The 26,283-nt window shown below is 42.5% G+C and overlaps 1 protein-coding gene, 1 non-coding gene and 1 pseudogene across 8 annotated transcripts in view, besides 1 other annotated feature; 2 read left to right on the top strand and 1 right to left on the bottom strand.

Moving 5' to 3' along the window:
* The first annotated feature begins 4,556 nt into the window (after positions 1 to 4,556).
* Positions 4,557 to 26,283, top strand: part of SLC25A17 (solute carrier family 25 member 17) — a 49,717-nt gene continuing 27,990 nt past the window's right edge. For 4 of the 7 annotated variants that reach the window (NR_104236.2, NM_001282727.2, NM_006358.4 and 1 more), the window contains exons 1-2: positions 4,557 to 4,708; positions 24,820 to 24,880. Coding sequence is in view for 2 of the 7 variants with exons in the window: in NM_001282727.2 (NP_001269656.1) it covers positions 4,655 to 4,708; positions 24,820 to 24,880 (115 nt within the window). In the remaining 5 variants the exon portion in view is untranslated. Of the gene's footprint in view, positions 4,709 to 6,525; positions 6,701 to 24,819; positions 24,881 to 26,283 lie in introns of all 7 variants that reach the window. The other 3 variants (NR_104235.2, NR_104237.2, NR_104238.2) reach the window with 3 other exon arrangements.
* Positions 6,525 to 6,584: an enhancer, noted in NCBI's record as "active region_19100". NCBI's record gives its function as "activates an Ori minimal core promoter by ATAC-STARR-seq in GM12878 lymphoblastoid cells {active_cell/tissue: GM12878}" and the evidence as "EXISTENCE:reporter gene assay evidence [ECO:0000049][PMID:35858748]".
* On the top strand, positions 9,945 to 10,020 carry MIR4766 (microRNA 4766). Its single transcript, NR_039923.1, has one exon. It is a non-coding gene; the product is annotated as a microRNA 4766 (primary transcript).
* On the bottom strand, positions 25,618 to 25,864 carry JTBP1 (jumping translocation breakpoint pseudogene 1; annotated as a pseudogene).

Here is a 26,283-nt window from a genome sequence, read left to right as displayed (position 1 = left end):
AGGAGAAGGGGGCTCTGGGAAACACGCTGAGATACTGAAGATAATATATGATGTTAACATTTTATTACTTCTAATATCCCATTGGTCAGTTTGTGTGTTCAGGCTATGTTTAGCTGCAGGGAAAGCCAGTTTGTCATCCATAACTGTGTGATCACATGCTCAAGAAAAAACTTAAGAGTAGAAACAGGAAAGACGACTTGGGGTGACACCTAGCAGTCTACCATACTAGGAAATACTAGTTTGATAAGATAAAGGAGAAACAATTTCATTTTAGAGATTTGCTGATGACTAAAATTAATGCACCTGAGTAGGCACAGGTAAGTAGTGTTTGTGCCAAGCCCTGTTATAATCAGTTTGCAAGTATTGGATCAATTCTGATAATGACCATAAGGGTAGATACTGTTAGCACCACTTTACAATTTTATAGATAAGGAAACTGAAGCACTTAATAAGTAAATTGCCCAGGATAACACAGCTGATTATTTGTAAAGCTGAGATTCTTGAATACAGAGGTTTGTGGCTTCAAAGGGCTTTCTCCCAAACTCTGTACTGTGCTGCCTCTGTGTACAAGGTTGATTCTTGCAGAATTGTTTAAGGAACTGAAAACTAAAATGTACATTTGAATAAGGTTGGTTAAATAAGGAGTGTCACACACTTGATGTGCTGATGTGTACATCCAGGGGGTTTCTTCCTAATAGTAAGGGACACAGCATAATTGAAGTGCATGACGAGCCCCCAAATAAGGGCAAGAATAAACTAAGTAAAAATTATAGTACAGTAATTATAAAAAGTTCAATATGTGCCAGTATTTACAACCAGTATATAATGTACTTAATAGAGCTCATACAGTTTGGAGAGGAAAATGTCCTAAAGTAAATAGGCAACAAAAGTGAGTAACTGAGCTTTAAAAAGCAAATTTAAATAGTATGTCAAGTTGGCAATTTTTCAGTGAGACCTTTCATATAGTGCTGGTGGAAGTGTAAGTTTATGGTTTTCTATAAAGTTGTTTAGCAATAAATAAAAACTTTGACGTTTGGTGAAATCCTAATTTTAAAATTACGGCTCTAAGAAGCCAGGAGGTAAGTAGAACTAATGTAAATGTCTGTGGTGCTCTGAAAATCTAGGCATCTAATACATAATTAAGTAGTTTACTCACACAGATCACTGGGACATTTTTAGATTGCAGGGTAAGTAACCTGACCATACTTAAGCCAGTGTAAAAGCAACATACACGAAATGGCAAGTACTAGCTAGGTTCCTTTAATTCTTATAGCATGGGTGTATATAGAATGGCCCTAAATTTTTTATATACTTTATGTAGTGTCAAGGGGTATGATGCTTATATAATTCAAAGGACCCTCTTTAAGGAAAAGAATGTAATTATGAACACTAAATTGGACACACAAGTAGATACTTGTTTAGAACGAAAAAAGCAGCCAAAAATTACAATCCTTAGGTTTTTTGAAACAGAATCTTTCTCTGTTGCCCACACTGGAGTGCAGTGATGCAATTGCAGCTCACTACAGCCTTGACCTGGGCTCAAGCAATCCTCCCACCTCAGCCTCCCAAGTAGATGGGACTGCAGGCATGCACCACCATGCCCATCTGTTTGTTTTTAACAGCAATGAGGTCTTACTTTGTTGTCCAGGCTGGTCTGGAACTCCTGGTTTCAAATAATCCTCCTGCCTCAGCCTCCCAAAGTGCAGGGATTACAGGCATGACCCCCTGTGCTCAACTAAGTTATAATTTTTAAAAATTATGTCTCAACCGGGCACGGTGGCTCACGCCTGTAATCCCAACACTTTGGGAGGCCAGGGGGTGGGGGGGGGGGTGAGGTCAGGAGTTCGAGACCAGCCTGGTCAACATGGTGAAACCCTGTCCCTAAAAAGTACAAAAATTAGCCAGGCGTGGTGGTGCATGCCTATAGTCCTAGCTACTCGGGAGGCTGAGGAAGGAGAATTGCTTGAACCTGGGAGGCAGAGGTTGCAGTGAGCTGAAGTTGCGCCATTGCACTCCAGCCTGGGCGACAAGAGCAAAACTGTCTCAAAAAAAAAAAAATATATATATATATATACGTATATGTGTGTATATATATATATATATATATATACGTATATATACGTATATATATATACGTATATATATATATATACGTGTATATATATATGTATGTATGTGTGTGTCTCGAACATCACAGCTTCATAGTTCCAGTTAATAACTGATGTAGCTATGCAGTGTCTACGTTTTTCAGTGCATACTGATTATATGAAAATGACTTTGGCTGGGTGCAGTGCTCACACCTCTAATTTGAGCACTTTGGGAGGCCGAGGTGTGTGGATCACCTGAGGTCAGGAGTTCGAGACCAGCCTGGCCAACATGGTGAAACCCTGTCTCCACTAAAAATACAAAAATGAGCCAGGTATGGGGGCGTGCACCTGTAGTCCCAGCTACTCGGGAGGCTGAGGCAGGAGAATCACTTGAACCCGGGAGATGGAGGCTAACATGAGTCAAGATCGCGTCACTGCACTCCAGCCTAGGTGACAGAGCGATACTCCGTCTCAAAAAAAAAAAAAAAAATACTGTTTTCAGTATGTCAGTCTTCAGTTGATCATGCTGGGCGCTGTGGCTCACACCTGTAATCCCAGCACTTTGGGAGGCCGAGGCGGGCGGACCACGAGGTCAAGAGATTTGAGACCATCCTGACCAACATGATGAAACCCCGTCTCTACTAAAAATACAAAAATTAGCTGGGCGTGGTAGCGCATGCCTGTAATCCCAGCTACTCGAGAGGCTGAGGTAGGAGAATCACTTGAACCCGGGAGGCGGAGGTTGCAGTGAGCCAAGCCTGGGCCACAAGAGTGAAACTCCATCTGAAAAAAAAAAAAAAGGTTGCAAGGCCCGGTACAGTGGCTCATGCCTGTAATACGAGCACTTTGGGTGGCTGAAGCAGGTGGATCACTTGAGCCCAGGAGTACAAGACCAGCCTGGACAACGCAGAGAAACACTGTCTCAGGTTTAAAAAAAAAAAAAAGCTGATCAAAATGTTTTTGGTATGTAAGATACAAAAACGTCAAAACAAAGTATTAACAATGTTTTCATAACTATGATGCATAATCCAGTATATTCTTGACAGCAAGCTCCCAATTTGATCAGGAGTCAATGAGAACTGAGTTCTCAAGTTTTACAGCCAACTAGTTTCTATGTTCCCATGCCAAAATAATCTTTTTTTTTTTTTTTTTAGGAGTCTCACTCTGTCCCAGGCTAGAGTGCAGTGGTGCAATCTTGGCTCACTGCAACCTTTGCTTCCTGGGTTCAAGCGATTCTCCTGCCTCAGCCTCCCTAGTAGCTGCAGTTTCAACATTGTAATTTCTACAAGGCGCGTGCCACCATGTCCGGCTAATTTTTTCTATTTTTAATAGAGACAGGGTTTTGCCATATGGGCCAGGCTTGTCTCAAACTTCTGACCTCAAGTGATCTGCCCGCTACGGCCTCCCAAAGTGCTAGGATTACAGGCCTGAGCCGCTGCGCCCAGCCCAAAATCATCTTCGCTTCACTTTTGGTCCTTCACTTTCACGTCATGATTCTATGGCGTGATGGGAATGTTCCTGGAAGCAGTATCTTCTGCAAATTTTGTGAAAACGGCCAGGTTAAACTTTGTTAGACCCCTCTCCCAGGGATTAAGTGTGATGATGGGCATAAAACACTAAGCCTGGCATGTAGTCAGCACTGAGGAGTTATCACGAGGATATTCTAAAAGGAAACATGGTAAAGACAAGTGGTGATGGTGTCTCAGGAAAGAATCCCTGAGTCCCTGAGGAGCATCCTGAAGCAGAATCTCACAGTATGACAGGTTAAAGCTGAATGTGGCTGCTTTAGTTTTGTGTAATTTTGTTAGTCACTTTGCAACATGGAAAAAAATTTTTTTCCTTCAGTATTTTATGAAGTACTACTACATAAATTGGCTTTCGTAATCCTCACAGCAGATGGGGATTGTTGGTACTAGTACATTGTCATTTCACAGAGGAAACCCAAGAGGTTAAATGACTTCCATAGTTGCCAACTAGGGGGAGGCTCCCACTCGCGTCTTGTATTTTGGGCTCCTGATGCTCAACATCTCTTCCCACCACACTCAAGGGTTTTTCTGGAGGAAGAAGTTTCCAAGTCCACAAGTGAGTTTTTTTCCTCTTGGCCAAAATGTGACTTTCAGAATAGAAAAGAGCTCAGGCGCAGAGAAACAGGGAGACTGGAGTCTCATTGAGTTTCCCCATCTTTGTCACCAGAGTAAAAGAAGGCCATTAAGACTTCTGAGATGGAGGAACTGGTCAGGGCCCGGGAACGCCAGAGAACGTCGGAGGAACCGGGAGCCGGGTACCTGGTGTCAGGCCGCCTTGCGCCTTGGAGCCCAGCCCCGCGAACACCTCGCTGTCCCGCCCCGCGCCCACAGGGGCCAATCAGCGTTCAGGGGCGTTCTTAGCCGCCCCCCCCCCCCCGCTTTCCCGCCCCGCGACCCGGAAGTGGTTCTAGGGCAGGCGGGCGGGTTTGAGAGGGCGGGGATTGCGACTCTCACACCCTGAGCTCCGGTGCTCCTTTCCTAACTCCACTGGCTGCGGCATCTGTGGGAAAAGTGTGGCTGGGTCTTCGAGGAGCCGCACCAATGGCTTCCGTGCTGTCCTACGAAAGCCTGGTCCACGCCGTGGCCGGAGCCGTGGTGAGACGGGGTCTTTACGCCCGGGCCGCAACGGGTTATAAGGCTTCTCGGGGGCCAGTCCCGGGATATGCCTGAGGGATGGGTCTGAGAGGGAGGTAGTGTGGGTTGGGGTCCACTGTCATGACTGTGGGGCAGAGAGGAATGGGCCATTGGCGGAAAGTTGTTGGAGGAATTCGGGGTAAGGGCCGAGACTCCGCCACCTCCTGGTCTCCTAGAGACTGCGGGGTAGAGAGCCGTGTTCACACGTGCCCGCTCAGGGTCCGCATCTTTGCCGTGGGAAGTTTAAGGTCAGGCTACCACCGCACACTCACACACTTTGCTTTACTGGCCCGGAGGAGAACGTAGGTGTGAAGCCGTGTTGCTTAGTCACATGCTTCCCTACAGCCTGTCTTCACGCTTGCCGCGGGCAAGTGGCAATACCTAGTAGGATAGCTCTGGGCACCGTTATTGGCAGGAGAAGATAGATCCTTTTTTTTTTTTTTTTTTTTCCGGACAGGGTCTTGCTCTGTTGCCCAAGCTGGAGTGCAGTGGCGCGATCACGACTCACTGCAGCCTCGATCTCCCGGGCTCCAGCGATCCGCCCACCTCAGCTTCCTGAGTAGCTGGGACTGCAGGTGTGAGCCACCACACCCGGCTACATTTTTAAAAAAAATTTTTGGGGTCTGGCAGTGTTGCCCAGGCTGGTCTCGAATTCCTGGCCTCAAACGATCCTCTCGATTTGGCGTCCTAAACTGCTGGCATGAGCCACTGTGCCTGGCTTTTTTTTCTTTCTTTCTAAATCAAGATCTGGGTTCCTGTCTACCACAAGTGTGGTTTGTTATGAGGTATACGCTTGATTCTTGGGCTTCTGGTGTCTAGGTTCCACTTGACACTTCCCCTCTCCCCTCTTTTCCTTAAAACTTTCCACTTTTGGCTTGGGTGACTCCTCTTGTGGTTCTTTTATCTCTTTGACTGCCTTTTCTCATATTCTTCACCAGTTGTTAGCACACACCTTTAGCTGTTAAAATCACTGTGACTTCAGAGGAACATCACTGAATCCTCTGTTTAGCCTCCAGAAACTTCACTGAGAGCTCACCTTCTCTGTAGACTAATCTGGATTTAACCCTAACTCCATCATTTGTTAGCTAGATGCCCTGTAAACCTTACTTTCTTAATCTGTAAAGTGGGGGAAGTGATACCTACCTCACAGAGTTTAGAGAATTAAGTGACACAGCATTTCATGAAAATGCCTAATTCAGGAAGCCTGGTTCATTCAGTTCAGCCAGAAGAGCCTTTCAGCCAGCATGAAGGCTGAGATGGACGCTTGCGTGACTTGCTTTAAGATGGGCATGGAGGCCTGTGTTTCCGGAGTGGAGGGAACAAAGAGGCAAATAGGTTTCAGGGGGCCAAATTGTGTGAGACTTTCACTCTGGCTAGCTGTTGAACTTGCTGATTTACCTTTAAACGTGATCACCCTGGCTGCTGTGTTGAGAGTAGAATGTAAGGGAACAGGGGACAAGCAATTATCAGGCGAGAGATGATGGTGACTTGGATCCGGGTGGTAGCAGACATGGTAGAAGTGATCATTGACCTGGAATATATTTATAAAATGAGGGTTGGTTGACTCCAAGAGTTTTTGGCTTCAGTAACTGGAGGGATGGTGGTATTTACTGGGATGGCAGAGGCTGTGAAGGAGAAGGTTTTGGGGGAAATGATAAATTTGGCTTTGGTTTTGGAGGAGTTTGAAATGCCTAAGAGTAGTCGTGAGACTAGATGAGCTCACTAGGGAAGTGTGTATGGACTGACAGAAGAATCTCAATGACTGAGTCTTGGAGCAGGCTAACCATTAAGAGGCCGAGAAAATAAGATTGCACCAGCAAAGGAGACAAACGAAGGATGGATCAGTACTGCAGGAGGGAAGCTAAGAACTAAGAGTGAAAGCCACGTGAAGAAAGTGTTTCTGGGGAAGGAAGTAGACCAGCTGGGTCAGATGCTGCTGATGGGTCAAGTAAGGTGAGGACTGAGAAATAACTGAGAATTTATCATGTTGATAAATCCAGTGGTTAATTGAAAAGACCAGTTTTGGTGGAGTGGTGGGGGAAATAGTTGGAGTGCATCTAAGAGAAGAAAGTGAGAAGATGGGAAATGTTTTTCTCTTCCTTCTTGCAATAAATGTTCATTAAACACCTTTATTGAGTGCATTCTATGTGCCACACGCTGTTCTAGGTGCAAGGAGTACAGTAGAGAAGGTCTTTTTCTTCATGAACTATGCATTGCAATAGGGGAGTCAGACAATAAATGAATAGGCTGGGTGCGGTGGCTCACGCCTGTAATCCCAGCACTTTGGGAGGCTGAGGCAGGCGGATCGCCTGAGGTCAGGAGTTCGAGGCCAGCCTGGCTAACATGGTGAAACCCCGTCTCTACTAAAAATACAAAAAGTAGCCAGGCATGGTGGTGGGCGCCTGTAATCCCAGCTACTCGGGAGGCTGAAGCAGGAGAATCACTTGAACCTGGGAGGCAGAGGTTGCAGTGAGCCAAAATTGTGCCATTGCACTCCAGCCTGGGTGACAAGAGCAAGACTCCGTCTCAAGAAAAAAAAAAAAAAACAATAAAAAATAAATGAATAAATAAAAAATAAGTAGAATAATTTTAGATACAGTTAAGTGCTATAAAAGAACATAGAGATTGGCAAACTTTTTAAAGAGAGCAGATGGGAAATATTTTAGGCTTTGTGTACCGTTGTCACAGCTACCCAACATTGCCATGGTCGTGTGAAATCAGCTGTAGACAGTAAATGAATGGACAGAGCTGTGTTCCAATAAAATACTGTTTTCAAAAACAGATATTAGATTGGATTTGGCCCATAGGCCATAGTTTTCTGACTCCTGCTATAGAGAGAGTGACTGGCAATAGTGGTAATATATTTCTATTTAATCTACAAAGATACTTCTTTTTTTCACTTGTTGCCTATTTTTCTCTTTTTTTCTTTTTCTTTCTTTCTTTCTTTTTTTTTTTTTGAGATGGAGTTTCGCTCTTGTTGCCCAGGCTGGAGTGCATGGAGTGCAGTGATGCAATCTCGGCCCACCACAACCTCCGCCTCCTGGGTTCAAGCGATTCTCCTGCCTCAGCCTCTCGCCGAGTGGCTGGGTTTACAGGCATGTGCCACCACGCCTGGCTAATTTTGTATTTTCAGTAGAGACGGGGTTTCTCCATGTTGGTCAGCCTGGTCTTGAGCTCCCGCCCTCAGGTGATCCGCCTGCCTTGGCCTCCCAAAGTGCTGGGATTACAGGCGTGAGCCACTGCGCCTGGCCTGGAATTACTTTTCTAACTTTGTTTATGCCTGAATCAAAAACGATTAATGAAATTATATCGTCATACATAGTATTGTATAACTTAATTTTTTAAGAAGCAAATATGGCATAATAGCTGAAAAAAAAGGTTCTGTAGTAAAGCTTAACTATGAATGCCATCATCAATCGAACTATAAAACAGGGACAATAACAATGCCTCACTTAACTGGGTTCTTGTGGGAAGTAAATGTGATTATATTTGTGGAGCATCTAGCATAATGGAACGTTGTAGTAAGACCATAATTATTCATTTCTGTCTCAAGTATATTCTTGCAAATACAGCACTTATACCTAGTTTTAGAAATTTAAGGGAATTGAAATGTTCTCTTGCCTCATGGCCATCTCCACCCATTCCCTTCACTTGTTGCAGATGATCTTACCTTTTACTCTCTAGATAAAATAGAACCTACTTGGGATGAGTTTTTTCAGTTTTTTCCAATTACAGTTGTACTCGTGTTTTCTACATTCTGCTGGTCTCAGAGGAAAAATAGACATATTCAGTGTCTGCTACCTTCAATCTTTGTCCTCCCCTCCAGCCCATGGCCAGTTTTCTTCCAGGACTTTGCTCCAGTAATTTTCATCTCTTTCCTATAGCTTTAACCTAGTATCTGCTTCTGTTCAGCCCTCAAACATGGTCAGGTCTGTCCCATCAGAAAACTATACCAATCTGATCTGGAATCTGGTAGCTTCTTCAGCCTCTGCCTGTTCTCTTTCCCTTTGTGCTAAGCTTATTTAAAGAATATTCTGGGCCGGGTGTGGTGGCTCACACCTGTAATCCCAGCACTTTGGGAGGCTGAGGCGGGCAGATCACGAGGTCAGGAGATCGAGACCATCCTGACTAACACGGTGAAACCCCATCTCTACTAAAAATACAAAATATTAGCCGGGCATGGAGGCAGGCGCCTGTAGTCCCAGCTACTCGGGAGGCTGAGGCAGGAGAACGGCATGAACCCGGGAGGTGGAGCTTGCAGTGAGCCAAGATTGCGCCACTGCACTCCAGCCTGGACGACAGAGCAAGACTCCGTCTCAAAAACAAAAAAAACCAAAACAAAACAAAACAACAACAACAACAACAATATATATATATATATATATATATATATATATATATTCTGCACGTACTGCCTTTCCTCATCCTACTTTGACCACTGGAACTGTTCTTCCAAAGGTCAACTCTGACTTCCTAACAGCTTAATCTACTATTGTGAATGGTTTAAGGTCATGGATAACCAGGTACACACACATTTGTGTCTTTTCACAATGTCAGACTTTTATTGTGTTATTTCAGTTATAAAAGACAAGTTACATGGAGTTCTCAAGGAGGCAATTTTTATTAGTACTTCTCATTCACTAGGTAGTCAGTCAATATTGTAAATCATATATAATAGTATACCTAATTAATACATAAATGATGTAGATTAAACATTCTGCAACAAAGTAACATTGAACATCAAGAGAAAAGGGTGAGGAAAAAGGGTTACCTAACCAGTCCGGGGAGAGTGATATAGACAAGTATCCTGGTTTCATCATGGCAGTGTGTTGGTCTTGTAAGAAAGAATCCTTGATGTGGGCAGAGCCTTTGGACACAGATATCAGGCTTTTATAACAAGTGACAGCAAGACAGTGTCTGTTAAGACCATTTTGAGTTTTTTAAGTCCTGTTCTTTTTATGGTCACAGAGTCTTCTGGTAAGGACTGATAGTGGAAGAGCATGCTTGGTTGTGTCTTTATCTGGAAAAACATCTGGTCCCTGTTGTCAAAGTGCTTTTTGAAATGAAAGATAGGAGTCTTTTTCTAAGATGGAGTTACTTATGTCAAGAGTGCTCTATACATCTACTGACTGTTTTTGCATTCTTAATTGATTCCAGTTCTTTGTAAGTATTCTATACTGTTGACCCTTCTACCTTTCTGAAGCTCCTTCTGAAAGAGCAGTTGGTGTTTATTTTTTACTAAATAGCAATTGCTCTTTTGGAAGGAACTTGAGAAGACATTACTCCTTTTAGGGCCCTAAAATTAACAGTGGTTTCTACTACTAACAGATACTATAGCTATAAAGGACATGTAGAAACCAACAATTGTTGAGTGCCACCTGTGTGCCTGGTATGATGCTAGGTGCCAACCATAATTTTTTGTTTTTGTTTTTGAAACTCAGTCTCGCTCTGTCGCCCAGGCTGGAGTGCAGTGGCGTGATCTCGGCTCACTGCAAGCTCCGCCTCCTGGGTTCACGCCATTCTCCTGCCTCAGCCTTCCGAGTAGCTGGGACTACAGGTGTCTGCCACCACACCCGGCTAATCTTTTTGTATTTTTAATAGAGAGGGTATTTTTTTTTTATACAGAGTCTCGCTCTGTCACCCAGGCTGGAGTGCGGTGGCACGATCTCGGCTTACTGCAACCTCTGCCTCCCAGGTTCAAGTGATTCTCCTGCCACATCCTCCAGAGTACCTGGGACTACAGGTGTGTGCCACCACTCCTGGCTCATTTTTGTATTTTTAGTAGAGATGAGGTCTCACCGTGTTGGCCAGGCTGGTCTCGAACTCCTGACCTCAAGTGATCCACCCACCTCAGCCTCCCAAAGTGCTGGGATTGCAGGTGTGAGCCACCATGCCCAGCTACTTTCCATAATTTGATTCTAACTTCTCATAGCAACCTTGACAAATACCGGTCTCAAAATTACAAATGAGGAAATTGAGACATAGAGATTTGAAGTTACTTATGTAATATATACTATACTTGGGACGTAAACCTATATTTTATCCCTAAACACTCGAGAGTGTCATCCATGAGGCCATTTGTGTAACTTGCCTATCTGTCTGTGTATGTATGAGTTAGCTTGATTGTTATGTCAGGGAAAAGACTTACATTAACTCTGATGAGGTGAATAACATTTTTAAATATGAAAGCCATTGTAAGTGGCTTTTAATCTTTAGAATTTTATTAGCTCAAACCACAGAAAACATCTTAGGTGGTTTTTAAAAATTTTTTTAAATTTTTATTTGTTTTGAGACTAAGTCTCACTGTGTTTCCCAGGCTGGAGTGCTGTGGGATGATCACAGCTCACTGCAGCCTCAATCTCCTGAGCTCAAGCCATTCTCCCACCTCCTAAAGTGCTGGGATTGCAGGTGTGAGCCACCGTGTCTGGCTTTAAAATAATCTTTCTGTTCTATAATGCAGTGTTCTAAATCAGGAGAGGCTATACATTGATTTCAGTGGTGCTGCTGTGACTCAGCCACGTCGGGACCCCTCTGGAAACTGATTTTGGACTAGCATTGTCTTTTTTACCCCCACCACTAGTTTTCACCCTGCTAGGATGAATCAACATTTTAGAAACAGTCAGTCACATTTGGTGATTTGGTTGGTATACCAACCCAAACATCATTGTTTTATGCTTAAAAGGCATGAAAATATGCTTCTGTATTTATGTATGTTCTTATCTATTATTCCCATAAGATTGCACACGCTGGGGGGACCAAGTCTTGACCAGATTTACCCAGTGTTTCATTCTTACTCTATCTGTAAGCCCAACTTCATATGTGGATTGTGTTGACCAAATTAAAAAGTATACTTTAGATATTTACAGGAGAGATATAGCCCAGAATGAATAAACCATCTTTTTTTTTTAGTAAGTAGCCTGAAATGTAGATGATGATGCATTCTTAAGAAATCCAGGTGCCAGGCTGGGCGTGGTGGCTCACGCCTGTAATCATAGCACTTTGAGAGGCTGAGGCAGGCAAAACACTTGAGGCCAGGAGTTTGAGACCAGCCTGGGCAATGTAGTGAGACCTCATCTCTAAAAATAAATAAGTTAAAAAGAAAGAGAGAGAGAGAGAGAGAGAAAGAAAAAGAGAAAAAGAAAGAAATCCAGGTGTCAGTTCAGAATTGTTCACAAAAAAGAGGAACCCCCAAATCCCCAAGAACTTAGGCTAAAAATCGTTTATGTGACTGATACAGTTTGGATGTTTGACCCCTCCAAATCTCAGTTTGGATGTTTGACCCCTCCAAATCTCATGTTGAAATGTGACCCCCAGTGTTGGAGGTGAGGCCTAGTGGGAGGTGTTTGGGTCATGGGGGCAGATCCCTCATAAATGGCTTGGTGCCATCCCCTTGGTGATGAGTGAGTTCTCACTGTTAGTTCATGGGAGAGCTGGTTATTTAAAAGAGCCTGGTACCCACGCCTCTCTCTCTTACTCCCTCTCTTACCATGTGACATACCTGTTCCCCTTTCACCTTCCACCATGATCATAAGCCACCTGAGGCCCTCACCAGAAGCAGATGCCAGCACTGTGCTGGCTCATACCTGTAGTCTCAGCTACTCAGGAGTCTGAGGCTGGAGAATCACTTGAGTCTGGGAAGCCAAGGTTGCAGTGAGCCACGATTGCACCACTGCACTCCAGCCTGGGCGACAGAATGAGACCCTGTCTCAAAAAAAAAAGAAATCTAGAAATAAAATGACTACAATTTAAAAGTTACTGCACGATTGGCCAGGCTCATTGACTCACTCCTGTAATCCCAGCACTTCGGGAGTCTGAGACGGGTAGATCACTCGAGGCCAGGGGTTTGAGACCAGCTTGACCAACACAGTGAAACCGCATCTCTACTAAAAAAAAAAACAAAAATTAAAAATAAAAGTTAATACATGATAATCATGGGAACACTGAATATTGATTTAAGCAAAAATCTTAACTATTAGAAGGATGGAGAGAATAAAGAGAGGGATTCAAGACCAGCCTGGGCAACATGGCAAAACCCTGTCTCTACAAAAAATACAAAAATTAGCTGGGTGTGGTGGCTCACGTCTGTGGTCCCAGCTACCTGGGAGGCTGAGGTGAGAGGATTAATTGACCTCCACCCAGAGGTGGAGGTTGCAGTGAGCTGAGATTGTGCCACTGCACTCCAGCCAGGGCAATAGAGTGAGACCCTGTCTCAAAACAATAACCACAAAAAAAGAGGGAATGTGGTATAAGAGAGCTGAATTCTCATTCCCCATAAGAGAATGTAAATAATGTCTAAAAATGATTAATAAGATATCAGTATATTATTATATGGAGATGTATAAATTCCAAAACAAACAACTAGAAGAATTTAATTGCCTCTCTGAAGGAAGATTGGATAAAATAGAGAGGAGTGGGGCAAAAACTGCTATATTTTGTCATTTATACTATGTGATTTTTTAAACTATGTGCATGCTTTGCTTTGATCGATTAAAAATTTACTATTAGAATATTTAATGCTCGGTGGCTTACGCCTGTAATCCTAGCACTCTGGGAGGCCAAGGTGGGCGGATCACCTGAGGTTGGGAGTTTGAGGCTAGCCTGACCAACATGGAGAAACCGTGTCTCTACTAAAAACTCAAAATCAGCCGGGCGTAGTGGCGCATGCCTGTAATCCCAGCTACTCAGGAGGCTGAGGCAGGAGAATCACTTGAACCCGGGAGGCGGAGGTTGCAGTGAGCTGAGATTACGCCATTGCACTCCAGCCTGGGCAACAAGAGTGAAACTCTGTCTCAAAAAAAAAAAAAAAAAGAATATTTAATGCATAGCTATGAATTTGTTAATTGTTGAAGCTTAGTGATATGTTCAGATTCAAGCACAGATTTCTGAACATATTAGATACAGCTGAAGATGCAATTAATGCACTAAAAGATAGGGACCACCAGTATACAAAAAGACACTGTTAGCACTCTGGAGATTCCAAGGGTCTTGGATGCTCTTGTATCAGGAACCAGGGACTAAGACACTATTATAACAAAAGACATTCCTATCATTCAGGAAATTACAAGAATTTTACCAGGAGCTCTGTGTCAGGAGCCTAGGATGAGGACCAGATATATACTTTGCATCATAATATCACAGCCCATCATTTTAAAAAAACCCTAATAAATGATCATCTGTAAGACATTAATTGTAGGATATAATTAATATCCTATATAATATATAGCTTCCTGGAGGTATTTACCTTTTTATAGAGTTTTCCTGGAAAGGACAGTGGCCAACCCAGAGGTAGTGTGATGATGTCAGGTTAGATGATAGTATATAATAATGAAGTTTGTTAATAATGTATTTTTTTTGTAGTTAATGGCCTCTGTTCAAACTATACTCATAGGACCCATTCACACTCCTAAAAATTTTCACCAACCCCAGAGTCTTGCTTATGTGGTTATAACAATCAATATTATTGTGTTAGAAATTAAAACTGAGAAATCATTGAGATATTTGGTTTTGTTTTTTGGTTTTTTTTTTGAGACAGGGTCTCACTGTGTACCCAGGCTGGAGTGCAGTGGCACAATCTCAGCTTACTGTAGCCCCAACAGCCCAGGCTCAAGCAATTCTCCCACTTCAGCTTCCCAAGTAGCTGGGATTACAGGCGTGCACCACCACGCTGGCTAATTTTTTTTTTTTTAATTTTTTTGTAGAGACTGGGTTTCTACATGTTTCACCATGTTGCTCAGGCTGGTCTCGAACTCCTGGGCTCAAGCAATCCGCCCACCTCGGCCTCCCAAAGTGGGGTTACAGGTGTGAGCCTTTTTGTTTGTTTGTTTTTTTAAAGAGATGTGGTCTATGTTGTTGGCCATGGTGGTCTTGAACTCTTGGCCTCAAGCAGTCTTCCTACCTCGCCCTCCCAAAGTGCTAGGATTACAGGCATGAGCCACTGAGCCCGGCCAAGATATTTGTTAATTCATTAAAAATCATTAAAAATACATTAGCTGGGTGTGGTTGCTCATACCTAAAATTCCAATGTTGTCTCGCCTCTACAAAAAAAAAAAGGTAAAATACATCCATTACATGTTAACATACATAAGCTATATTTTTTAAACCATATTTTCCAAAACGTCATAAGATGAATGGCATTGATGTATAGTTTTGCAAACCTCTCTTTGACTTGATAGAAGATAGCTGGATCCTTTTATCTGCTTCTGAATTCAGTCTGTTGCAATATCACACATTTATGCATAGCCTTTGGAAAATTTTGCTACACACTGTGAGAGAATAAGAATGAGAAAGGCAAATAGCATTTTATTATTTCATAATGATTCTTATGAAAAGGTTTTTAATCCTACAAAACCTCCTAGAAAGGATTTGGGGACTTTTAGGGATCTCCAGACTATAGTTTGAGAATCACTAGACTGTATTATATCTTGTGTTCTGATGTCTTTTACAAAAAATATTTGCCTCTTACCCACTTCAAAACGGAAATGTTTAACACATGCTTCTTTATAAAAACATTGTACAGAGATGCGTAGCATGAGAAATGGAAACCACTCTTAATTCCCTCCCTTCCCATATAATCATTCTTAAGAATTAGTTGTTTGATTTTCCCAGATCTTATGTGTGTGTGTTGTGTACACTTTTATAAGTGGAAAAGAAAATTTCAACGTCATGTGTGTCTTCATTGAAAAAAGGTTGAGAACTTCTGTAGGAGAACAATAAACAGTAGGAGTAGGAGTCAGAGATCTTGGTTGTAACCTTGCCTCTGCCACTCTGGCTTTGGGCAGACCCCTTAACTACCCTGCCCCATCTCCTCACTTCTCAGCTGAAGGGACTCCACTGCTTCAAGTGCCAATATAGTGTAGGAAGTCACTTATTCTCCCAACACTGAATGGTTAAATGCTGTGGGGGTGGGAAGATAGAGTGTTGTAATTAAAAATGTTTTGAGTGAGATACAAAGAAGGGTGTCTCTTGGGAAATAGATTGTTTAAAATTGTAATTGCTGTCAGCGTTAGAACTCCCACTCAGATAGATGGTTAGAATTCTGTGGGACTCAAAATAATGGATTTATTTTATGCCTCTCGCACAACAGTATTGTACATTGTGGTTATCTTCTCGGTATTTTGTGCCTTCTAATTTTATGTAAGTGAACAGACAGTCCTCAGGGGAAAAAAATGAGTGTTTATGTTAAGATAAATTTAATTCAAATTCTGAAAAGTTATATGCTTATACAGCTTGGCATAAGACTCACATATATAACAAATAATTTTGCTTCAGGTAACAGCTGCTTATAAAAACAGTCATCTTTGTGTTTGCTTGGCTAGGAGACAAATATAGCAAGTCCCTGAGGTATAGAATGCTGTGTTCCAAATTTACCTTTAGCATTTGGAGTACATTATTATTATTATTATTTTTTGAGATGGAGTCTTGCTCTGTCACCCAGTCTGGAGTGCAGTGGCGCGATCTCGGCTCACTGCAAGTTCCGCCTCCCGGGTTCATGCTATTCTCTTGCCTCAGCCTCCTGAGTAGCTGGGACTACAGGTGTACGCTGCCACACCCAGCTAATTTTTTGTATTTTTAGTAGAGAAGGGGTTTCACTATGTTAGCCAAGATGGTCTCGATATCCTGACCTCATGATCCGTCCACCTTGGCCTCCCAAAGTGGTGGGATTACAGGCATGAGCCACCGCACCTGGCCTCTAATTTTTATTTCTATATTAGTAATTTTTAAAAAGTTTTAATTATAGTAAGAGCGTGAGTTCTGTAGTCAGGCTGCCTATGTTCAAATACTGATTCTATCACAAGCTGTCTGACTTTAGGAAAATTGCTGTACCTTTTGGCATCTGCTTCCTTGTCTATAAAATAAAGAGAATGATAGTGCCTGCTTCACTGGGTTGTTGTGAGGATTAATTTTTTTAATTGAGATATAATTCATACAACATAAACTTATTTCAAGCATAGTTCAGTGGTATTTAATACATTCACAATGTTGTATAACCACCACCTCTATCTCATTCCAAAACATTTTGAATAGATAAAATGTGGCATATACACACAATGGAACACTCAGCTATAAAAAGGAATGAAGAATTTGTATGTGCTACAAGATGGGTGAACCTTGAAAGCATGATAAGTGTAAAGAAGCCATGGCCGGGCATGGTGGCAATCATCAGTAGTCATAGCTACTTGGGAGAGTGAGGCAGAAGGATCACTTGAGCCAGGAGTTCAAGGCTGTAGTATACAATGATTGTGCCTATGAATAGGTACAGACAGTACTCCAGCCTGGGCAACATAGCAAGACCCCATCTCTAAGACAAGAAAGGAAAAGCCGGTAGCAAAAAGTCACAGGTTACATGATTTCCTTTAGAGTAAATATCCAGAATAGAGACAGAAAGCCGATTAGTGGCTGCCAGGAACTGAGTGAAGGGGGAAATGGGAAGTACTTGCTTAATGAGTATGAGATTTTCTTTGGGATGATGAAAATATTTTGGAACTTTGGTACTGGTTGAATAATATTATGAATATATAGAATGGAATACTTTAAAATGGTTAATTTTATAATATGTTAATTTCACCTTTTTTTTTAAGCCCCTTGAGCAATTAGACTGGCAAAAAAAATCCTCAGACAACCAAAATAGAAGAGCCTTCATAACCCTGTAGGTTTTTAATCTTCTTTCTGGCCCCAATGGATTTCCCTTACTTTCTTGCAAGCTCAGCTAAGCATTTAAAGGATATTTGTTATATATATTTTATTCGACATTTCTAGGTATTTTGCAGCACGTTGTCTAGGCTACCATATTGCTGGAAATGGAAGCCTACATTTCAACTTTAAATATTTAACCCTCACATTTACACTTACGTTTTCTAACAAAGCCTAAAAGAAATCCATACATGTGTGTGTATGTGTGTGTACCCTTTCCTTTAATTGGTTAAAACTGGTCAGCTTTTAGTTTCCTCCCCACTTCACAGCTTTCCCCCTGCCTCTGCCTATCTGTTTACTGCTTCCAGCCTCCAGGGATTGTAGCAAAAAAGTGGAATGGGTTTCTGGCAAAATATGATAATGGTTAGCTTTCTGGGCACAGAATTTCCTGTTCCAGCTGGGTGCTCCAAGTCACCTTTGGCATGTCAGGTTCCCATACTCACAGTTACTAGCTGGGACTGGTACTGCCTGTCTGGTATTACTGTGGCACCCAGTCAGTCAACCTGAAAGCTGGCCCAGGGCTTCCTTCTGCTTCCCAGTGTTTGTGTCCACAATTTGCGTAATAGTAATCCGGCTGTATTAGTTTTCTATTGCTGCTGTAACAAATGACCAAGACTTAGTGGCTTAAAATAACACAAATTTATTTTCTGTAGTTCTTGTAGATCTGTAGATCAGACTGATGTGGGTCTCACAGAGTTAAAATCAAAGTGTCAGCAGAGCTGTATTCCTTTTTGGAGACTCTAGGCCTGCAGCCGTGTCCAGCCCTTTGAATGCGAGGACTTTTTTGCTTATCTGGTGTGGCGGATATCACAAAAATTATGCACAGAACTTTTTTTAAGCTCATCAGCTCTCATTAGTGTTAGTATATTTTATGTGTGGCCCAAGACAATTCTTCTTCTTCCAGTATGTTCCAGGATTATCCCTAAAAGGTTGGACATGTGTGCTCTAGGGGATAATCCATTTCCTTGCCTTTTCCAGCTTCTAGAGGCTGCCACATTCCTTGGCTAGTGGCTTTTTATCCCATCTTCAAAGCCAGGAATGTTGGGTTGAGTCCTCATCACACTGCAGCATTCCAACTACTCTTCTGTATTCCTCTGCTATCTTTTTTTGAGACGAAGTCTCACTCACTCTGTTGCCCAGGCTAGAGTGTAGTAGCACGAACTTGGCTCACTGCAACCTCTGGTTCAAGCGATTCTCCTGCCTCCCAGGTTCAAGCGATTCTCCTGCCTCAGCCTCCCGAGTAGCTGGGATTACAGGCGTGTGCCACTACTCCCAGCTAATTTTTGTATTTTTAATAGAGATAGGATTTCACCGTTTTAGCTAGGCTGGTCTTGAACTCTTGACCTCAAGTGATCTACTGCCTTGGCCTCCCAAAGTGCTAGGATTACAGGCGTGAGCCACTGCTCCCAGCCAATAATGCTTTGTTCAGAACAGCAGTACTTAACCATTTTCTTTTTCTTTCTTTCTTTCTTTCTTTCCTTCCTTCTCTTTCTTTCCTCACCTTTTTTATATTTATTTTTATAGAGACAGTGTCTTGCTATGTTGCCCAGGCTGGTCTCAAACTCCTGGCTTAAGTGATCCACCTGCCTTGACCTCCCAAAGTGCTGGGATTACAGGGGTGAGCCACCACACCTGGCCTTGGGCCATTTTCTCACAAGACAACAGATGATGCTCACAATCGACACAGACCCGGAGGCTCTCCTGCATGTCAACCATAATCCCACCCTTTTCTCACACACTCAATAAAACACTTCAGGCTGGGCGTAATGGCTGGCCTGAGTGAAGAGACAACCTATACAATAGGAGAAACTATTTGCAAACTATGCATCTGACAAGAGGTTAATATCCAGAATATACAAGCAACTCACACAACTCAATAGCAAAAACAAACAAAAACAAAACAAACAAAAACCAAGTAAATAATTAAAAAAATGAAAGCTCTGAATAGACATTTCTCAAAAGAAGACATAGAATTGGCCAAGAGATACTTAAAAAAAAGCTCAACATCACTAATCATTAGAGAAATGCCAGTCAGAATCACAATGGGATATCACCTCACCCCAATTAGATTGACTATTATAAAAAAGACAGAAAATAGGGATCCCATTCCTTCACAGGGGCCCTGGTAGAGTGACCTTGCACATCTAGGTACCAGCGAGCCCCAAGTACACACTTGCTCTGGGCTTGGGTGCGTAGATGGGCAAGGATGGATTGTCTCTACCATTCCTCAACCAGCTGAGGCCCTGAAATCTTCCCTTAGCCAGATTTCAGGACAAAGGAGCACTAGATATTATTAAAAGGACTCCTTTTGCTAGTCCTTTGAAGCCCGAATTGGGATTGAAAGTGAGAGGAACAGGGCCTGGGCTCAGAAGGGGGATATAAGGAAAGCAGAACCCAGTGTGCCTGTGTCAGTGTCGTCTGGAGAAAAAGCTCTTGATGATATCTAATAGCTGTTATTCACATCAAAACTCTCTAAGGCCCTCCACCTATTTTCTCGTTTATGGGAAATGAAACATTCAGAGAAAGGACTTGCCCAGTCACCTCAGATGGCTCAGCTGGAAACTAGAAGTGAGATCCGACATAGTGGAAATGTGTAGCATACGGTGAGCCACTTTCCAACTTAGCCATTAAAAAAAAAAAAAAAACAAAAACTAGCAAATGCTGGTGAGGATACTGAGAAAAGGGAACTCTTGCACACTGTTGATGGGAATGTAAATTGGTACAGCCATTATGGAAACATTATGGAGGTTCCTCAAAAAATTAAAAATAGAACTACCATATGATCCAGCAATCCCATTACTGGGTATATATCCAAAGGAAATGAAATCAGCGTGTCAAAGAGACCTCTGCATATCTGTGTTAATTGCAGTGCTATTCACAGTAGAAAAAATGTGGAATCAATGCTTATCTACAGATGAATGGATAAGAAAAATGTAAATATACCAATGGGAATTTTATTCAGCTGTAAAACAGAATGAAATCCTGCCATTTGTGGTGACATGGATGAACCTGGACAATAAATATTATGTTAAGTGAAGTAAGCCAGGCACAGAACAAACATCACATGATCTTACTCATAAGTAGAATCTAAAAAAATTGATTTTATAGAAGTAGAGAGTAGAATAGTGGTTACCAGGGGCTAGAGATGGTAGGAAGGAGAGGGGGACCAGGAGAGGTTAGTTAAAGGGTACAAAGTTTCATTTAAGTCAGGTACTGTGGTGGCACAGGGCTGCAGTTCCAGCTACTCGGGAATCTGAGGCAGGAGGATCGCCTGAACCCAGGAGTTCAAGGCCAACTTGGGCAACACAGGGAGACCCCATCTCTTTAAAAGAAGAAAAAGTTAGACATGAATAAGTTCTGGTGTTCTATTACAAACTATGGTGACGATAGCAAATAACAATGTCGTGCGTATTTCAGGATAGCTAGAAGAGAAGATTTCCGATATTATCACCACAAAGAAATGATGTTTAAAGTAATGGGTGTGGTAATTACCCCAGTTTGATCATTATACAGTGTGTACATGCATTGAAACACTACACTGCACCCTATAAACATGTACAATTATTACATGGCACTTATAAATAAATAAATTTTGAAATGTCTCACTGTGGTATTCTTTTAATTCTCATCTACCAATTAGACCCCTTTTTGTTTTTCTATATAGTCCTTTTATATAAAAATCTGTTCTCATTATTAATCATTGGAGTAGGGAGGAGGCAGTGGTGGGTTTTCAGCTAACCCTCTTGATCCAGTCTTTCCAGTGCTACTAAATTTATAAAACTGTTACTTGGTGTTACTCATTTGAATTTTCTTTTTTTTTGAGAAGGAGTTTCCCTCTTGTTGTCCAGGCTGGAGTGCAGTGGCACGATCTTGGCTCACTGCAACCTCCGCCTCCCGGGTTCAAGTGATTCTCTTGCCTCAGCCTCCCAAGTAGCTGGGATTACAGGTGCCCACCACCACGCCTGGCTAAGTTTTGTATTTTTAGTAGAGGGGGAGTTTCACCATGTTGGCCAGGCTGGTCTCGAACTCCTGACCTCAGGTGACCCATCTGCCTCGGCTTCCCAAAGTGCTGGGATTACAGGCTTGAGCCAACGTGCCTGGCCTGATTTGAATTTTCATATGCCAGTTCTTGAGGTAGTAATAGACCAATGAGCTGTTTGGGCTGACTGTTCTCTTTATCTTGGTGTTTCACTTCAAGATATCCAGATAGGTAGGCAAGGACTTCTATGTTTAGGAACCTTCACGTGTCTATTTAAAGCTGGCAGAAAAGAGGGATGAAGGTGGCCCAGTGTTTGAAGAGGTAGCTTCCAGGCTAGACTTTTTCTGTCTGGAGATGCCCTGTCTATGCAGTACCCTTCAAAGAAATGCAGTACCGGCCAGGCACGGTGGCTCACGCCTGTAATCCCAGCATTTTGGGAGGCCGAGGCGGGTGGATCACCTGAGGTCAGGAGTTCGAGACCAGCCTGGCCAACATGATGAAACCCCGTCTCCACTAAAAATACAAAAAATTAGCTGGGCATGGAGGCGGGCGCCCTTAATCCCAGCTACTCGGGAGGCTGAGACAGGAGAATCGCTTGAATCCAAGAGGTGGAGGTTGCAGTGAGCCGAAATCCCGCCATTGCCCTCCAGTCTGGGCAACAAGAGCAAGACTCCGTCTTAAAAAAAGAAAAGAAAAGAAATGCAGTACCATGCGATAGAAAATGAGTGCCAGAGCCTTAATAAACTTAATAAGCTTTCTCTAACTTTCCAGCTCCCATTTTTCTTGGAAATTGCCTCCTGAAGATGAGCAAGGATGCTGGATGCATGGATTTGTAGGATTTGTAAAGCTTTGTGGGTTCAGTGTTTTGTGAGACATTGAATATCATTTAGTCGTTGAGTGTCATTTCTTGAAACATTGAGTATCATTTAATCATTTATCATGACTAGAAAAGAACAGTTATGTTGGGGTCATCAAAAAAGCATAAATAAGTGAAAGTACAGTGAATTGAATAAATGTTTAATTGAGAATCTAGGATGTGCACAGATATAGAAAGAATGCTCTCACAAATTAGCAGAAGAGTTGGATTTCACTGTAGTATATGTGCTGAAAGAGCCATAAATAAGTGCTAATGGCACCCTAGAGGACTGAACAACCAATTGTAAGCTGATAGGCGGGGAGAGGTAACAATATGTGTTTTGAAGAATACAAATATTAGAGTATTCTCCCTTGTCATGGAGGCTGACCTATTTAAATTGATAATAGGCCTACCAAATTTTCTTATTTAAGTTGACCTAGCTCCTAGTTATTTATCATTTACATATATATATATATATATATATATATATATATATATATATGTAATATATTTTTTTCTTTTTTCTTTTTTGAGACAGAGTCTCTTTTGCCCAGGCTGGAGTGCAGTGGCATGATCGCGGCTCACTGCAACCTCCATCTCCCTGGTTCAAGCAATTCCCCTGCCTCAGCTTCCCAAGTAGCTGGGATTACAGGCATGTGCCACCAGGCCCAGCTAATTTTTTTGCATTTTTAGTAGAGAGGGGATTTCACCATGTTGGTCAGGGTGGTATCAAACTCCTGACCTCATGATCTGCCCACCTTGGCCTCCCAGAGTGCTGGAATTGATTACAGGCGTGAGCCATCATGCCTGGCCTTTATTCAAAATTTTTTTTTTTTTTTTTGAGGCAGACTCTCGCTTTGTCACCCAGGCTGGAGTGCAGTGGCACGATCTTGGCTTACTGCAACCTCTACCTCATGATTAAAATACTGTATGAAGCCAGGTGCAGTGGCTCACACCTAGTACTCCTGCACTTTGGGAAGTTGAGGCCAGAGAATCACTTGAGGCCAGGAGTTTGAGGTCAGCCTGGGTAAATATAGTGAGACTCTGTCTTTACAAAAAATAAAATTATCTGGGTGTGGTGACACACATCTGTAGTCCTAAATACTTGGAATGCTAAGGCAGGAAAATTGCTTGAGCCCAGGAGTTCAAGGTTACAGTGAACTATGATCTCGCCACTGCACTGGAGCCTAGATGACATAGCAAGACACTGTCTCTAAAATAATTAACTAATTAATTAGTTAATTTTTTTTGTAACCATTATTAGATCAGCAGTCTGAAACTTGATTTTATGCCTGTAAATCTATACCAGTGGGTATGCATCTGGATTGAGAACCATAAACCAAAATGGAAGTTTCATGTATATAGTTTCATCCCTAAATATATGTTTGTGGTTTTTATATAGGACCTTATGAGTGGAAAAACTTGTTGTTTGCTTGTTTTTTTTCATTGATAATTTGTGTCATTGTGTTATCTTGGATGAGCTTAAAGAATTGTTGGCAAAGAGATTGTTCCTATTTAATTTAAAACACAAGCAAACTACTATTTCAAAGACAATATGATTCTTACCTGTCCTTTCAATTTGTGGTGAATGTATTAAGCACAGAATAAAAGTATGTGTCTGTTTAATTACCGGGTATTTTGGTTTTGGGGGTTATCAGGGAGTGCTCATGATAGCAGAAACTGACCTGTAGAAGGTTAAAAATCCATTTGCCTGCTATCTTTGACATGTGTCCTAGGTTGCAAACCCCTAAGTTTGTCATATGCAGGGAAATGTTTTCTTTTTCAGTGTCTGAGAGAGACAGAAAGAGGAGTTTTCTTCTGAAAAATTAAATACTTCTACTAAAGCATAGTAGAAGCTTGAACATTGCTAATCCTAATAGATTAAAATATTGTATGTATTCGTTCACTAAAAATCTGATTTGATCGATTGCTAATAATAAACTTTTGTTCATTTAAAAGTTGTGACTCCCGGCCAGGCACAGTGGCTCACACCTGTAATCCCGGCACTTTGGGAGGCCTGAGGCGGGTGGATCATGAGGTCAGGAGATCGAGACCATCCTGGCTAACATGGTGAAACCCCGTCTCTACTAAAAATACAAAAAACAGTCGCGTGGTGGCAGGCACTTGTAATCCCAGCTACTCAGGAGGCTGAGGCAGGAGAATCGCTTGGACCTGGGAGGCGGAGGTTGCAGTGAGTTGAGATCGTGCCACTGCACTCTAGCCTGGGCAACAGAACAAGACTCCATCTCAAAAAAAAAAAAAAAAAAGTTGTGACTCCCAGCCTGGGCAACAAAGTGAGACCCCCATCTTTACAGAAAAATTTAAAAATTAGCCAAACATGGTGATATACACCTGGAGGGTATGTGCTTGTAACCCCAACTACTTGAGAAGCTGAGGTGGGAGGATCACTTGAGCCCAAGAGTTCAAGGCTGCCGTAAACCACTGCACTCCAGCCTAGATGACAGAGCAAGATCCTGTCTCAAAAAAAAAAAGTTGTGACTTAAACTATGTTTGTGATGCTGTAATGGCCTTTTTCAAACTTTTCAGGGAAGCGTGACAGCAATGACAGTGTTTTTTCCCCTGGATACAGCTAGACTTCGACTTCAGGGTAAGTAGAAATCATACTCCTATTTGTATGGTGTCAGGAAGCAAACATTTTCGCTAGTAATTTCTTTTTTTTTTTTTTTGAGACGGAGTTTCGCTTTTGTAGCCCAGGCTGGAGTGCGATGGCATGATCTCGGCTCACTGCAACCTTCGCCTCCTGGGTTCAAGCGATTCTCCTGCCTCCGCCTCCCAAGTAGCTGGGATTACAGGAACCTCTTTTTTAGTACAGACGGTGTTTCACCATATGGGCCAGACTGGTCTTGAACTCCTCATCTCAGGTGATCTCCTGCCTTGGCCTCCCAAAGTGCTGGGATTACAGGGATGAGCCACCATACCCAGCCTCTTTTTTTTTTTTTTTTTTTTTTTATGTATGTGTGCTTTTATTTTTCTAGAGGGGATAGGGTTAAGGGGGAACAAGTTTTGACTGAGAAAATAAACTTTTCAGCTGAAACTGTATCCCAGAAGTTTGAAATAAGTTGTAGAAGAGGGAGAAGATAGATACCTGGTAGACTGGGGCCTAAAGTTGCTCACCCCCTTTCCCACTCTAGAGGCCCCTTGACTTCCTGCTCCAGATTACAGTGGGGAAGGAAGCTTTCACTCTTTTTCTGCCCATCAGTGATCTGAAAGAGGCAGATGGGGAAAAGGTTCCGAGGAACCAATGGTGCACATCAGGCCATGTTGCTTTCTCTGTCTGAGATGAGTTCTCTAAGACCCAGGGTAAAGGGTGGACTGTAGCTCTGTGGACTCAATTTGCCTCCAGAGCTTTTCCAGAGCTTTTTGCCCAGTTGTTGCTGACAACTGATGACAAGACAGGCAAAGATCAAGACCATATCAACAGCCCCTTCGAATTTCCAGAACAGGTGTATTTCCATCAGAGCCAAGCGGGAGGCTTTCAAACTCATTCCTTAGATGAGCTGCTTGCGGTTTTCTCCACACACCCTGTGAAGCCACACTCTGGGGTGACTTTAGCCTGGAAATGAGAATGGGCAGTGCCCCCTTCTATGCAGATCTGAGACGCTCAGGACCGCTGTTCCTCCCGGGGTGCAGAGGCAGTGCTTACTCTACAGCCCTTGCAGAGGTTCCAGGTCAGGGTGGGAAAGCCAGAGGTGCCCATGGGGCAAAGGCTTTATCAGATGTCCTTGTGGCCACAGCAAGAAAAACCCATGTGCATTTGTTGGCTGCGGAGGAAGGGCTGGCCGGGCATACAGGCCTGGTGCACCTCGGCCTCCACCCCAGTCTAGTGATTTCTGAATTAATCAATGATTTCTGATACTATAGAGATCCACCATTGACTTTAAATACTGGTCATCATTGTTTCCTATTTTATTTTTTATTTTTAAGGTTTATTTTCCTTTTCTTTCTAGAAGATATCATGTTTCCTAATTAACAGAGAGTCATTCCTGGATG

Source organism: Homo sapiens, chromosome 22 (assembly GCF_000001405.40).
Source record: "Homo sapiens chromosome 22, GRCh38.p14 Primary Assembly".
NCBI lineage: Eukaryota > Metazoa > Chordata > Mammalia > Primates > Hominidae > Homo > Homo sapiens.
This window is presented reverse-complemented; position numbering and strand designations above follow the sequence as displayed.